At 42.6% G+C, this 14,012-nt stretch overlaps 1 protein-coding gene across 6 annotated transcripts in view, besides 2 other annotated features; it reads left to right on the top strand.

Moving 5' to 3' along the window:
- Positions 13,114–13,503: an enhancer, noted in NCBI's record as "active region_15746". NCBI's record gives its function as "activates an Ori minimal core promoter by ATAC-STARR-seq in GM12878 lymphoblastoid cells {active_cell/tissue: GM12878}" and the evidence as "EXISTENCE:reporter gene assay evidence [ECO:0000049][PMID:35858748]".
- Positions 13,524–13,813: a silencer, noted in NCBI's record as "silent region_11480". NCBI's record gives its function as "represses an Ori minimal core promoter by ATAC-STARR-seq in GM12878 lymphoblastoid cells {active_cell/tissue: GM12878}" and the evidence as "EXISTENCE:reporter gene assay evidence [ECO:0000049][PMID:35858748]".
- PPP1R21 (protein phosphatase 1 regulatory subunit 21) overlaps positions 13,608–14,012 on the top strand; it is a 74,621-nt gene continuing 74,216 nt past the window's right edge. For all 6 annotated transcript variants that reach the window (NR_024188.3, XR_007069367.1, NM_001135629.3 and 3 more), the window contains exon 1: positions 13,608–13,852. Coding sequence is in view for 4 of the 6 variants with exons in the window: in NM_001135629.3 (NP_001129101.1) it covers positions 13,796–13,852 (57 nt within the window). In the remaining 2 variants the exon portion in view is untranslated. The remainder of the gene's footprint in view (positions 13,853–14,012) is intronic.

The following is a 14,012-nucleotide window of genomic DNA, read 5'->3' on the forward strand; positions in this document are numbered from 1 at the left end:
GCCTGTAATCCCAGCACTTTGGGAGACCAAGGCAGGTGGATCACCTGAGGTCAGGAGTTCGAGACCAGCCTGGCCAACATGGTGAAACTCTGTCTCTACTAAAAATACAAAAATTAGTCGGGCATGGTGGCACGTGCCTGTAGTCCCAGCTACTTGGGAGCCTGAGGCAGGAGAATTGCTTGAACTTAGGAGGTGGAGGCTGTAGTGAGCCGAGATTACACCACTGCACTCTAGCCTGGGTGACAAAGCGAGATTTTGTCTCAAAAAAAAAAAAAAAACAAAAAACCAAAACAAACAAAAATATAAAAAATAAAAGATTATTCTGAGGGCTGTGTGGAGAAAGGATTGTAGTTGAGCAAGAATAGAAGCAGGGAAACAAGTCAGAAGGCTTTTTCAGGCATCCAGACAAGAGATGATGGCAGTGGAGATGGAGAACAGTGGACAGATTTGGGTCCTGCTAATGGATTGGCTTAGAAAAGAAATAGTGAATAATGATCTTCTTTGAAATTCAGGGCTATATAAATAAATGCACTTTGGACTGGGCGTGGTGGCTCATGCCTGTAATACCAACACTTTGGGAGGCCTAAGGTGAGAATATCACCTGACCCCAGGAGTTTGAGACCAGCCTGGCCAACATAGTGAGACCCTGTCTCCATAAAAAGTAAAAAAAAAAAAAATTTGTCAGATGTGGTGGAGTGTGCCTGTAGTCTCAGCTACTCCTCAAGAGGCTGAGGCAAGAGGATCACTTCAGCATGGGAGGTCGAGGCTGTAGTGTGCTGTGATTGTACTACTGCACTCCCGCCTGGGTGACAGAGCAAGACCCTGTCTCAAATAAATAAATAAAACATGTACTTTGCATTGTCTTTTCTTCCTTTGGTGGACAGGGCAGTGCTTGACAAGTGACAGTAAACAGACAGAAACTTGGAAGCCTGAAGAGCACTGAAGTTATGTTTTGAGATGCAGTCAACATTAACAAAAACTTTTTTTTTTTTTGAGACAGAGTCTCACTCTGTCACCCAAGCTGCAGTGCAGTGGTGTGATCTCGGCTCACTGCAACCTCCGCCTCCTAGGTTCAAGCAATTCCCCTGCCTCAGCCTCCCGAGTAGCTGGGATTACAGGCATGTGCCACCACTCCTGGCTAATTTTTGTATTTTTGATAGAGATGAGGGTTCACCATGTTGGCCAGCCTGGTCTCAAACTCCTGACCTCAAGTGATCCACTTGCATCGGCCTAACAAAGTGCTGGGACTACAGGTGTGAGTCACTGCTCCTGGCCAACAAAACGTTAAAAATAAATTAAGTTAAAAAGAAATTGTCTTGTAAATGCTTTGCTCTGAAGGATCTGACAGGCAAAAGACACCAATGGGCTCACAGACAGGACCACTGCCCCAGTAGATTGGGAAACAAGAGCCTTAGGAAGTGAAAGGCATGAAAGTATGGGGGAGGGACCACAGAGGAAGGAGATGAAGAGGAGAGAGATAAGAGGGAGAAGGTGAAACTGGAAACCCATCCAGAAGTGGGCAGAAACACAATGGGAAAAGTGAGAAAACCACTCTGTGTTTGTGGGAGTGTCATGTGGCTGCTTTCTTTCTGACGATGGACAGCCCTGCACTCAGGCAGGCATAATTGGGGGCTTACTCAGGCATCCCTGAGTATAGAGGGCTAAATAAGATGCAGTCCTAGATGAGCACGGTGGCTCATGCCTGTAATCCCACCTGGGAGGCCGAGGTGGGAGGATCACTCGAGCCCAGGAGTTTGAGACCAGCGTGGGACAACATAGTGAGACCTCGTCTCTACAAAAACAAAAGACAAAAATAAATAGCCAGGCATGATGACACATGCCTGTAGTCCTAGCTACACAGGAGGCTAAGGTGGGAGGATTGCTTGAGCCTGGGCAGTCAAGGGTGCAGTGAGCTGAGATCACACCACTGCACTCCAGCCTGGGCAACACAGCAAAACTGTCTCAAAAAAAAAAAAAAACAACAAAAAAAAAACAAAAAGAAAAAAGATACTTCTCATTACTTCTCATGCTAAGAATCTTGAAGTTTAGTCGAGGGCACATGACCAAACATGGTATAATAGGAACTTAAATGTAAATAATGGTCCACATTTTAAAAGTGCTAAAGTGCCAGGCCGGGTACAGTGGCTCACGCCTGTAATCCCGGCACTTTGGGACGCCGAGGCGGGCGGATCACGAGGTCAGGAGATTGAGACCATCCTGGCTAACATGGTGAAACCCTGTCTCTACTAAAAATACAAAAAAATTAGCCGGGCGTGGTTGTGGGCGCCTGTAGTCCCAGCTACTCGGGAGGCTGAGGCAGGAGAATGGCGTGAACCCAGGAGGCAGAGCTTGCAATGAGCCGAGACAGCGCCACTGCACTCCAGCCTGGGCGACAGAGCGGGACTCTGTCTCAAAAAAAAAAAAAAAAAAAAAAAAAAAAAAAAGTGCTAAAGCGCCAAAGGCTCTCCAAAAAGGGGAGGAGGTAATGTTTGAGAAGGAGTTGTGGAGGTGATGGGGAGCAGGGAAAAGGGTGTGTGCAAAGACACATGGGGTGCTGGAGAAACTGGTTGAAAATCAGAACTATTGAAGCTGAGTGCAGGAAGCACGGTGGGGCCCAAGAATTTGGGTCTTTTTCCCTGGGAATAGAAACTTGTTTTTAATCTATGAAGCTAGTAACCTGTGACAAGAAAGGGGATGGACTGGAGTCAGGGAGAATGGTTAGAAGGCCGTTTCTAAGTAGACCAGCAGCCTCAGATGAGGCTCATGATTGCTACTATTTGTAGAGCTATGGAGTAAGGCCGTACCACCCTGCACCTAAAGGGCAGGTCCAAAAGACCTGTGCCCTCACTCTACGTCTTTATGTGATACTGGCAAGGAATAAAATAGTGACACTTGTAGTAGAGTAAGAAGATAAACCATGGACAATTGTAAAGCATCTTTAAAAACTGAAGACACAAGTGGGTGGGTGATGAGAAATTGCTTAGTGGGTACAATGTATGTTATTCGGGTGACAGATACACTGAAAGCTCAGACTTCATCACTACACAATATATCCATCTAACAAAATTTCACTTGCACGCCTTAAATTTATACAAATTTTTAAAAATCAGAAAACAATCCTGAGGACATAAACACACACATGGAAGTATGTTCAATATATGCACTAGCATGTTCATTGCAACATTATTCACAATGGCAACGAAATGGAATCAACCCAGGTGCCCATCAGTGGTGGGCTGGATAAAGACAGTGTGGTACATATACACCATGGAATGTTACACAGCCATAAAAAGGAATAAAATCTTGTCCTTTGCAGCAACACGCATGCAGCTGGAGGCCATTATCCTAAGCGAATTAAAGCAGAAATAGAAAACCAAATACCGCACATTCTCATTTATGAGTGGGAGCTAAACATTGGGTACACATGGACATAAAGATGGGATCAATAGAGGATGGGGATTATAAATACTGAGGAGGAAGGGAGGGGGGCAAGGGTTGAAAAACTATCTACTGGGTACTATGCTTACTGGGTGACAGGTTCAATCGTACCTCAAACCTCAGCATCACACAATATACCCTTGTAACAAACCTGCATGTGTATGGCCTGAATACAAAATAAAAGTTGAAATTTTTAAGAAAGCATGTTCAATATTACTAATTTTCAGGGAAATGCAAATCAAAACCACAATGAGAAAGCACTTCTCACCCACTAGTTCAGCCATTATTAAAAAAATTAAAAAGCATCTTCGGTATCACTAATCATTAAGGAAATGCACATCAAAAACCACAGGGAGAAAACACTTCTCACCCAATTGGTTAGCTATAATGTAAATAAGCAAACAAAAAAGATAGCAAAAGAAAGTAACAAGTATTAGTAAGGATGTGGAGAAACTGGAACCCTTGTACATTCCTGGTGGGAACATAAGAGTGCAGCCACTGTGGGAAATGGCATGATGGTTCCTCCAAAAAAAAAAAAATTAAATATAAAATTACTATATGACTCTGCAATTTCACTTCTGGGTATATCCCCAAAACAATTGAACACAGGAACTTGAACAGATATTTGTACACCCATGTTCATAAGAGCATTATTCCCAATATGCAAAAGTTGGAAAAAAACCAAATGTTCATCAATGGATGAATGGATAAACAAATATGGTATATATATACAATGGAATATTATTCTTTTTTAAAAAGGAAAGAAATTCTGACACATGTTATGACAGTGCTGAACTTTAAAAACACTATGCTCAGTGAAATAAGCCAGACACAAAAGGACAAAACATTATATGAGTTCACTTATATGAGGTCCTAGAGTAATGAAATTCATAGAGACAGAAAGTAGAAGAGTGGTTGCCAGGGGTGGGGGGCAGGAGGATGACGAGTTTTCATTTCAGGGATATGGAGTTTCAGTTTGGGAAGATAAAAAAGTTCTGGATGGGTGGTGGTGATTGCACTACAATATGAATGCACTTGATGCTGTGGAAGCATACACTTAAAAATTGTTAAAATGGTAAAATTTATTTATATATTTTAACATACACATTCGAACCCCCTTCCACACACACACACAAACTGAGGACTATCCCCTGCCTCCCCACCCTCAAGAGCCAAACTTAACAATCCAATACATTTGACCCCCTTATATGTGATCTGGTCACTCATTGCTCCTCAATACACATGTTTTGTTTTACAGCCAGTAAGTAGAACGAATACAATCAGATTTAAGGGCCTAACAGTGGAAAAAGGGAAGGCCTCATGCTTAAGAAAACAGAACTCTTTAATATCTAATTTTAATTCAAGATTAACATTTATTAGGTGTTGAACTATATAACAGAGTGGCTCTCCAAAAGAAAATGTTATCAATTTGGGAATAGAACACTGCAGTGGGAATACGTACAAATGCCATAGTTAACTATGTGTGTGTTCAGGGAGGTAAAGGAAGACAAAGGTTTTTTAAAAGAAGAAAATGAGAAAGATTACACAGTTGTTTCAAAAAAATTATCTTTGGCTACAAAGATCAGTAACAAGGATAATGCCATAACGCCAGTCCAGGGTTGGGCAGGCAGTTGCTGGGCAGCTGTCCCCGCAGAACTATTTTTTGTTTAACGTTGCGATAGCATTTGTGTAAGGTTGTGGTTTTTCCAGAGTCTCTTTTGCTACCAGGTATACAAGTGTGAGAACCCTCTTTTTAAGGTCTCCCCGGTCTCTCTTTGCTAAGGTTTTTTTGTTTTTTGTTTTTAAGTAGTAGCGACTCCGTTTTGATTGTGACAGCATTCACATAGGTTATCAAGAGTATCAAGATTAACAGGTTTCTAGTATGTGCCCTTAATATGATATATTGAAAATTACACCTTATCTGTTTGTCCTCCCAAAAATTTGGCCCCAGTAATCATATGGAAACAGTAGCCAAATCCCAGCTGAGGCATGCTGTACAAAATACCTGACCAGTATTCCTAAAAACTATCCATGTCAGCAAAAATAAGGAAAGTCTGAGAAACTTCCCACTGCAAGAAGAGAAAAAAGATGTCAGAAAAAACAACAACAAAAACACCTTAAGGAATGAAGTATGCACTTTAGTTAATAATTATGTAAAAAAGGGGGAGGTCGGGCTGGGCGCGGTGGCTCACGTCTGTAATCCCAGCACTTTGGGAGGCTGAGGTGGGCTGATCACTTGAGGTCACGAGTTCAAGAACAACCTGACCAACAGGTGAAACCCCGTCTGTACAAAAAAAAAAAAAAAAAAAAAAAAAATTAGCTGGGTGTGATGGTGGGCGCCTGTAATCCCAGCTACTCAGGAGACTCGCTTGAACCCAGGAAGTGAAGGCTGCACTGAGCTGAGATGGCGCCACTACACTCCAGCCTGGGCAACAGAGCCAGACTTCCATCAACAAAAAAGGGGCGGGGGAGCTCTTTTCTCTTAGAGATGTATACTGAAATATTTAAGCATAAAATAATGTCTGAGATTTATTTCAGATTAATCAAGTGGGGTGAGAGAACATGGATAGAGTTATAGACCTGAAGTTGGGAACTGCTGAGACTGGGTAATGGGTACATGGGGTTCACTACACTCTTATTTTTATTTTTGCACATCTTTTAAAACTGTCCATGATAAAAAGGCATAAACTTAAAAAAATCTAGTATGCTAATTTATATAAATCTGAGTGCTGGATGTGGCTATTTCCTGCCATTAAATAGGGAGGCAGAAAAAAATTAAAAACAGTTTTGGGAGAAGAGAATAAACAAGAATGAAGCAAAGATAGAAGGGGAGAAGCGGAGAGAGATGAGGTTCAAGCTGTAAAATGTTACTGTGTCTGCTTCCCACCCACTCCCTGAGAACCTGCTCTTGGATTTTGTGAGCAAAAAAAAGTACTGGATACTTATATCAGCCCCCACCCTGATCCCCTAATCCCCTCCAAATAACTCCAACGGTATGTTTTTGTGAAGGTACAAGTTCAAACAAATACTGAAAAATATAAGGCTTGCTTTGGCACGTCACCCCTGGTCTAGAACTCATTCTTCTTTTTTTTAAGCTAAAGAGTAAAGGGTTTCCCACACGGGGGCACTTAGCCTAGCTTAGGGAAAGTACAATCTGCAGTAGAGGTGGAGGACTTGGGTCCTGGTTTCGGTTCTGCTGTGCCGCCATGTGACTTTGGACAAGATACATCAGGACTCTGTGCTTGCTCAGTTGGTCTTCTGTGTTGCTGTAACTGAGATAGGAAAAGCACTGGGGCAAAGCCAAGAAAAAAAAGAGTTGCAAAACTTCAAAGTACTGAATTCCTATTTTTAGTAGGACTCCTCAAAATTGCAAATCATCAGAATTTGTTCAGATTTTTGCCTCAGTGAGCACTTATTAAACCTGAACTTTGGAGCTAGCTGCTCAAGAGAAAATCATGTGAAGGAAAATTCTTTTCTTCCTTGCCCACCCCTCTCCTCTTTTCCTTTCCATTTAAGGTAGAGTGACATGCATTTTTGCACTGGATTAAAAACAAAAATAACAACAAGGACAGTATGTTGTAATAAAAAGCCCTCCAGGTGCCTACGTCCATCCATATATACATCTTAGTTGTTCGTTAGCCCAGTAATCAAGTATGGTAACCAGCCATGGGGACTGTAAAACCAGGCCAGAGAAAATCTTTGCTTAGTTATCTTAGTGACTGTTTGGGGAAGTGCTAGTGGGGCTAGCTGGTCTTCCAATATCACTGTAGTAGCTGCCACATTCAGCAAGTTACTATGAAGTAGAATGCATGATTTAAAGGACGTGGAGAGAGAAACTTGAAAGAAGCTCTTGATTTTCAAGCGTGTGCAAACATGGAAAATGTATCCCATAGCCAAGATAGTAAACACATGACTCTACTGATGGCATAATCGATCATTGTTTGTATGACCAAGGGAAGTTCCACACTGTTCTTGATCTATATACAATTGGTTCTCATTACTTATAGTAGTTGTGCTCTATAAATTGCAGCGAACACTGAATTAGCAAATCACATTACTCCTAAGGAAAATACAGGGTTAGGTTCCTGTGAGCCTCTGGTCACAACATTTCCATCAGCCGAGCAATATACAACTTTGTTTTATGTGTGTTTCTGTTTAAAGATACCTTACTAATACATATTGTTAATTCATTAACATCAAACAGCACTATAACTCATGCCTGAATAAAACTTATCATACATCTGTATTTTCTCCATAAGGCACATCACAGCCTTTTTTGTGCTTAGGAATACTGGACAGCACTTCAGCACTTTGCTTGCAGGCCATTTTAAACAGCAAAATCACCAACAGAAATGCAAAAAACATGATCAGCAAAAGGATCACACGTTTACAATATGAGAGCTGAAACAAGAAAGTGAGCATCGTCTTGTTTGACTGCAACTGGGAATGTGGGCTTCCAGTGACTCAAATCTTTTCACTGCTCTGTGCATGTCTGCAAATGACCATGAAAGTGCTGTAAGTATTGATTTTGGGGTTACAAATAAATTTTAGCTAGTAGGCAAATTCGCAGATACAGAGTCCATAAATAATGAGGATTGACTGTAAACACTACATGCCAGAGCCTGCTGTAAGTCGGCAAAATCCCATTTTTTGCCCCCATTATGTGAATTTTTAGGGATGTGAGAGATTAAGTGTGCAATGTATTCAAATATGAGTCACTCACTGTTAGATTGGGTAGATTATGTAGAAAACGGCATTGCATTTAAAATAGTCCTCAGTCAAGAGTTCGAGGCCAGCCTGGCCAACATGGCAAAACCCCGTCTGTACTAAAAAAATAAAAAATAAAAAATAAATCAAAAAAATTTGCTGGGCCTGGTGGTGTGCGCCCATAATCCCAGCCACTCCAGAGGCTGAGGCACGATAATTGCTTGAACCCAGGAAGTGAAGGCTGCAGTGAGCCGAGACTGTATCACTGCACTCCAGCCTGGGTGATGGAGTGAAACTGTGTCTAAAATAAAATAAAATAAAATAAAATAATAAAATAGTCCTCAAATCAGGAGCTATTCTTTAATCTTAAAGATTTGATACCCATCCTCCAAATCATGGGTTCCCAAGCTTCACTCAGTATCTCACTTTTCTTTTTTGTATCAGCCGTTATCTAAAATAATAAAATAGGTACGTACCCTTCCACTACTATGCAGTTTTCTGTCTACCCAACCACCTGCCACATGGCTCAAAAGTATCCAATCTTTGTGGTATGGAACATCCTCCACAGAAAAGTGAGGTAGCCTTTCAGACAGGACCCGGATGGTTCCCGTCTTAGTCCCCTTTTCTGCCCCAGGGCTCAACTTAATCTTGCACAGCCTCCTATATGAGAGCTGGCAAGCTCTATTCTCCATCACTATCCCTCCATGGTGCATAAGGAAGCCACCAAGTCCTGTTTTATGCCAGATCTATTGTTCAGGGTGATATACGAACAACACAAGCAAAACTTTATTCTTGCTCATGCTGTGTGACCACAATTGATTCATATTATGCTTAGGTATGCAGAGAAAATGGAGCCTCCCCTTTATGACAGATCTAGTCTTCCTCAAAAGTCTGTACTCCATTGGAAGGGCAACAGCTAACTCAGTTAATACTATCCTAGTCTCTTCAGTGAAAACAGTTTTCTTTTGGTTTACAACAGTTCCTTCTTTCGGAAATGCTTGTTTGTTCTGAGTTGTCTTCTCCCTCTCGCCTCCCAAGATGGCTTCTAGGTGTGTGCCTTTAAGGGAAGGGCAGGGAACCTTGATCTGCATCATGCGGGGCCTGATGCTGTCTTCTGACCCTTGCTGGCCTCTGTGGTGGTGTGTTCCTTGCTTACCCTGGTGGCATCTGCCACAGAAGTCTTCATTTGGGGAAAGAGTGATCTAGTCTCTCTTGGCTTGGTCAGGACCTAGGGGTCCTCCAGGCTGACCTGCCTGTCCTGTGTAACTAAAACCTCAAGCTAGATCTGACTGTCCCAGGGATAGGAACCTGACTGAAGCAGGGCCAATCAGAGACGCTCCCTGAATTTTTTTCAAACTGGAGCTAAGCAATCTGGTTCTTCTCTGGAGGCAAAACTGTGAGATGGAAGGCTCAGTGCAGTGGGCAACTATGCTTGCTGCCCTGTAGAAGTTGATGTAGACCTGCAAGAAGAGACAGACAATGTGAGAGCTGAAGCAGCATTCAGATTTCTGGTCTAGGTTGTGCCTGAGGTCCTGTATCTCCTAATTTCTTCCTGTTTTTCTGTGAAATAGCCACACATCCTTCCAGTAAATTCCCTGAGTCCAAGCTAATTTGAGTTCAGTTGCTGACACTTGCAACTGAAATTTTAAAAACCCAAGCAGTAGGTTTTTAAATGACTTAATGACCATTCTAACACCTGTGTATTTATAATTCCCATCAACCTTCCTTTACATCATTCCCCTAAGTATACTATGTTTATAGGTTGAAAATTATTGCTGGCAAACATGAGACAATTGAGATTTTTAAAAATTTTATTGGCCAGGCACGGTGGCTCATGCCTGTAATCCCAGCACTTTGGGAGGCCAAGGTAGGCAGATCACAAGGTCAGGAGTTCAAGACCAGCCTGGCCAATATGGTGAAACCCGTCTCTACTAAAAATACAAAAATTAGCTGGGTGTGGTGGCAGGTGCCTGTAGTCCCAGCTACTCAGGAGGCTGAGGCAAGAGAATCACTTGAACCCAGAGGTGGAGGTTGCAGTGAGCAGAGACTGCGTCACTGCACTCTAACCTGGGCGACAGAGTGAGACACTGTCTCAAAAAAAAAAAATTATTGTGAAATGTAATACCGATACAAAAAACTACACAGAACAAATATGTAACTTGCAAGGAATTATCATGAAGTTAGCACAGCTGTGTCATTATCACACAGGTAAGAAATCGAATATACCCTTAAAGCCCATCTCATTCCCCATACGAATATTTACCATTTCCTCCTCCCTAAAAGTAATCATGTTCCCGACTTTTTGGTTATCACTTCCATACTTTTCTGTTTTATCACTCAAGCGTGCATACATGAACCTTTACTTGAGTTCTACCATTCTTTGAACACTATGTAAACAAAATCATACAATGTAATTTGTTTTTAAAGATCAGACTTTTGCTGTGGATTATTTGAGACTTATCTAAAATTTACTGTAGCTGTAGGTCAGTCTTTTTTTGTTGCTGTTTAGTATTCCATAACATGAATGCTCATTTACCTATCCATTCTGTTGATAGACATTTGGAGGGTTTTTTGTGTGTTTTTGGCTATTATGGATAATGCTGCTGTGAATATTCTTGGTGAATACATGCACATTTTTACCGGCCATGTACATAAGAGTAGAATTGCCACGTCATGAGTATATATCTTTACTCTTCTTTTTTGAGATGTAGTCTCACTCTTGTTGCTGAGGCTGGAGTGCAATGGCGCCACCTCGGCTCACTGCAATCTCCGCCTTCAGAGTTCAAGCGATTCTTCTGCCTCAGGCTCCCAAGTAGCTGGGATTACAGGTGCTCGGCACCATGCCCAGCTAATTTTTTGTATTTTTAGTACAGACGGGGTTTCACAGTGTTGGCCAGGCTGGTCTCGAACTCCTGACCTCAGGTGATCCACCCGCCTTTGCCTCCCAAAGTGCCGGGATTACAGGTGTGAGCCACCACGCCCAGCCGTATCTTTTCAAATGAGTAGATAACACCGATTACTTTTTGTAATTGACTGTTCCAGTTTAGTTTCCTATCAGCATTTTATGTGAGTTTCTCGTTTCATATCCCCACTAACACTTGTCTTTTTAAATTTTAGCCATTTTTGTGTGTGTGCTGTGGTGTATCACTGTGGTTTGAATTTCACTTCCTCCTGATTATTAATGGAAGTGAACATCCTATTGCCTGTTTATTGGCCATTTGTCTACCTCCCTTTGTGAAGTGCCTGTTGAAGTCTCTTAGCCATTTTTCTATTTGGTTGCCTTTTTTCCTTATTGATTTGTAAGAGCTCTTTATATATTTGGATAAGAGACCTTTCTATGTTGGATATATATATAGAAAACATCTTTCACCCTGTGGCTTGTCTTTTCACTCGCTTAGGGGTGTCTTTTCAGTCAGAGATTCTTAATTTTAATGTATTCAGATTTATCAATTGGGAGTTTAAAACAATGCATCTGATACAGCAACTGGATTCACTAGTGCAAAATAAAATTCTAAATTCAGTAAAATGAACTTATACAGGCTCTCTGGCTAACACTGCACATTCTTTCCTCGGAATGTCATTTCTGGGATGGCAATTTTTTTTTTTTTTTGAGACAGAGTCTTGCTGTGTCATCCAGGCTGGAGTGCAGTGGCACCATCCACCTCCTGGGTTCAAGCAACCTCCACCTCCTGGGTTCAAACAATTCTCCTGCCACAGCCTCCCAAGTAGCTGGGATTACAGGCACCCGCCACCACGCCAGGCTCATTTTTTGTATTTTTAGTAGAGATGGGATTTCACCATGTTGGCCAGGCTGGTCTTTAACTCTCGACCTCAGGTGATCCGCCTGCCTCAGCCTCCCAAAGTTCTGGGATTACAGGCGTGAGCCACAGCGCCCGGCCGGCAATTTTTTAAATAATAAAAAATTCCATTATTTTACATAGCATTGAGATACACTTACAATATTTAATTCTGCCTCTCGGTGGTGCCATAGAAAACTAAGAGTAATAATTTTAAAAATTATTGTTCTGAAAGTTTGCTGGACAGTGGGATCTATGAGCAAACTGAAAACTATGAATATTCAAAAAAAGTTTGTAATTCTCTTACACACTACAGTGGCTGAAAATGCACATAGACTCAGCCCTTCACTATAAAATTCCTGGCTAATAGTCAAATAAAAATAGCACTAATACTTTTTTAATCATGGAAATTTGCAAGCATTCTAAAGTGCCAATATAACATTCCTGTACCTATTACCTAATAAATGTTAAAATCTTGTTATACTTACTGTAAAAAATTAAAGAAATAAGGAGAAAGTTTATGCCCCTTTGTCCTCTCCAGTTTCATCTCCTTTCCCTTTTTCTCACTAAAGGCAACTACTATCCAGAATTTGATGTATTCCCTTCTAGTTCTTGTTTCTGTATTTTTAGTACATGTGTCCATGAACAATAAAAATGTTACTTTATATTTTAAAAATGTATCATTTCATACTGTAGCATACTGCAATTTGCTTTTTACATTCAACATGTTTTTGCCATGTTTATATATACATATATAGATCTAGGTTATTAATTTTAACTGCCATATTGTAATTTATGGCAAACATATGCCCTGTATTTATTCATTTCTCTATTAATGAACATTTTAATGTTGCAATGCATACAATACCTAGAAGAATATCTTTAGAAAATTTAAATGAATGAGGCAGGCTTTTAATTCAAGCAGTATCCACATAAAATCTCTCAGGCAGACTATTTCTGCTTCAATTTTTTTATTTTTTATTTTTGCTGTTCATATCTACTCTGCATGCATAGAAGGAATCGATACCTGAAATTTCCTAAAGGTCTTTTACTCAGTCCCCACAAAAAAGCTCTGATGTGGTGTGTGTAAAGGGGTAGGAGTGGGAGAATGAAGTGGGTAGAGACGGACACAAAGAAATGTCAAAATACAGGACACTGAAGGTTTGGAGCCGGGGCCAGTGGCAGCAGCCAAAGTTACAAATATCGGGAAGGTCTGAGAGTTTACAGTGCAGAGCATGTCCTGTGCTATCATATGCGGATGACAAAATAGCCGAATACACAAATCTTTCCACGCTTGTGCTGAAAGATGTAACCATCAAGCGCCAGGCGGTTGCCATGGGAACCCGGGGCTGTGGGGAGTCGGCCAGAATTCTTGATGCGCTTAGAATGTTTCTTCTTCCGGCCCTCTGGTCTTCGCAATTATCGTCCCTCTCCTAGGTCCCCCGCCCATTCTATAGGCTCTCATGAGTCTCTTCCCGTCTTGATTCTCTCGCTCAGCGTTCCAGGTCGCCATCTTGGACCATGAGTCAAGATGGCGCCCCCTGGTCCCAGGGGCACAGCCCAGGCACGCTAGCGAGGCTACGCACGCACGTATTCGGGCGCGAAGGGTGGGGCACTGACGCCAGACGTCGCCCCGCCCTCTGTGGTCGCTCCGCCCCCGGCCCCACTCCACCTTCCTCCCACCCCGGGAACCCGGAAGTGGAGGAGGAGGCGCGGCGGCGGCGGCGGCGGCGGCTGCGGTGGCCAAGCAGGCAGATACTGCCTGACCCGTTCCCGGGAGCGTGTCTGGGTTTGGGGGCGGGAGACAGGCTGAGCCGCCTGGGCGGCCTGGCCTGTACGGGGCGGGGGAGGCCATGGCCTCGGCTGAGTTGCAGGGGAAGTACCAGAAGCTGGCTCAGGAGTACTCGAAGGTACCCATCGTGGTCTGGGAGTAGGGGGTCCCCCGCCCTGCGGCCTCAGGTTGCCGTGGCAGCGACTTGTCGGGACCTAGGGGTACTGCGGGAGGGGCACGCGAGCGCGCCCCACCTTTCCCCTCAGCCGTCTCCGTCCACCATTACGGTGCCTCCACCT

Source organism: Homo sapiens, chromosome 2 (assembly GCF_000001405.40).
Source record: "Homo sapiens chromosome 2, GRCh38.p14 Primary Assembly".
NCBI lineage: Eukaryota > Metazoa > Chordata > Mammalia > Primates > Hominidae > Homo > Homo sapiens.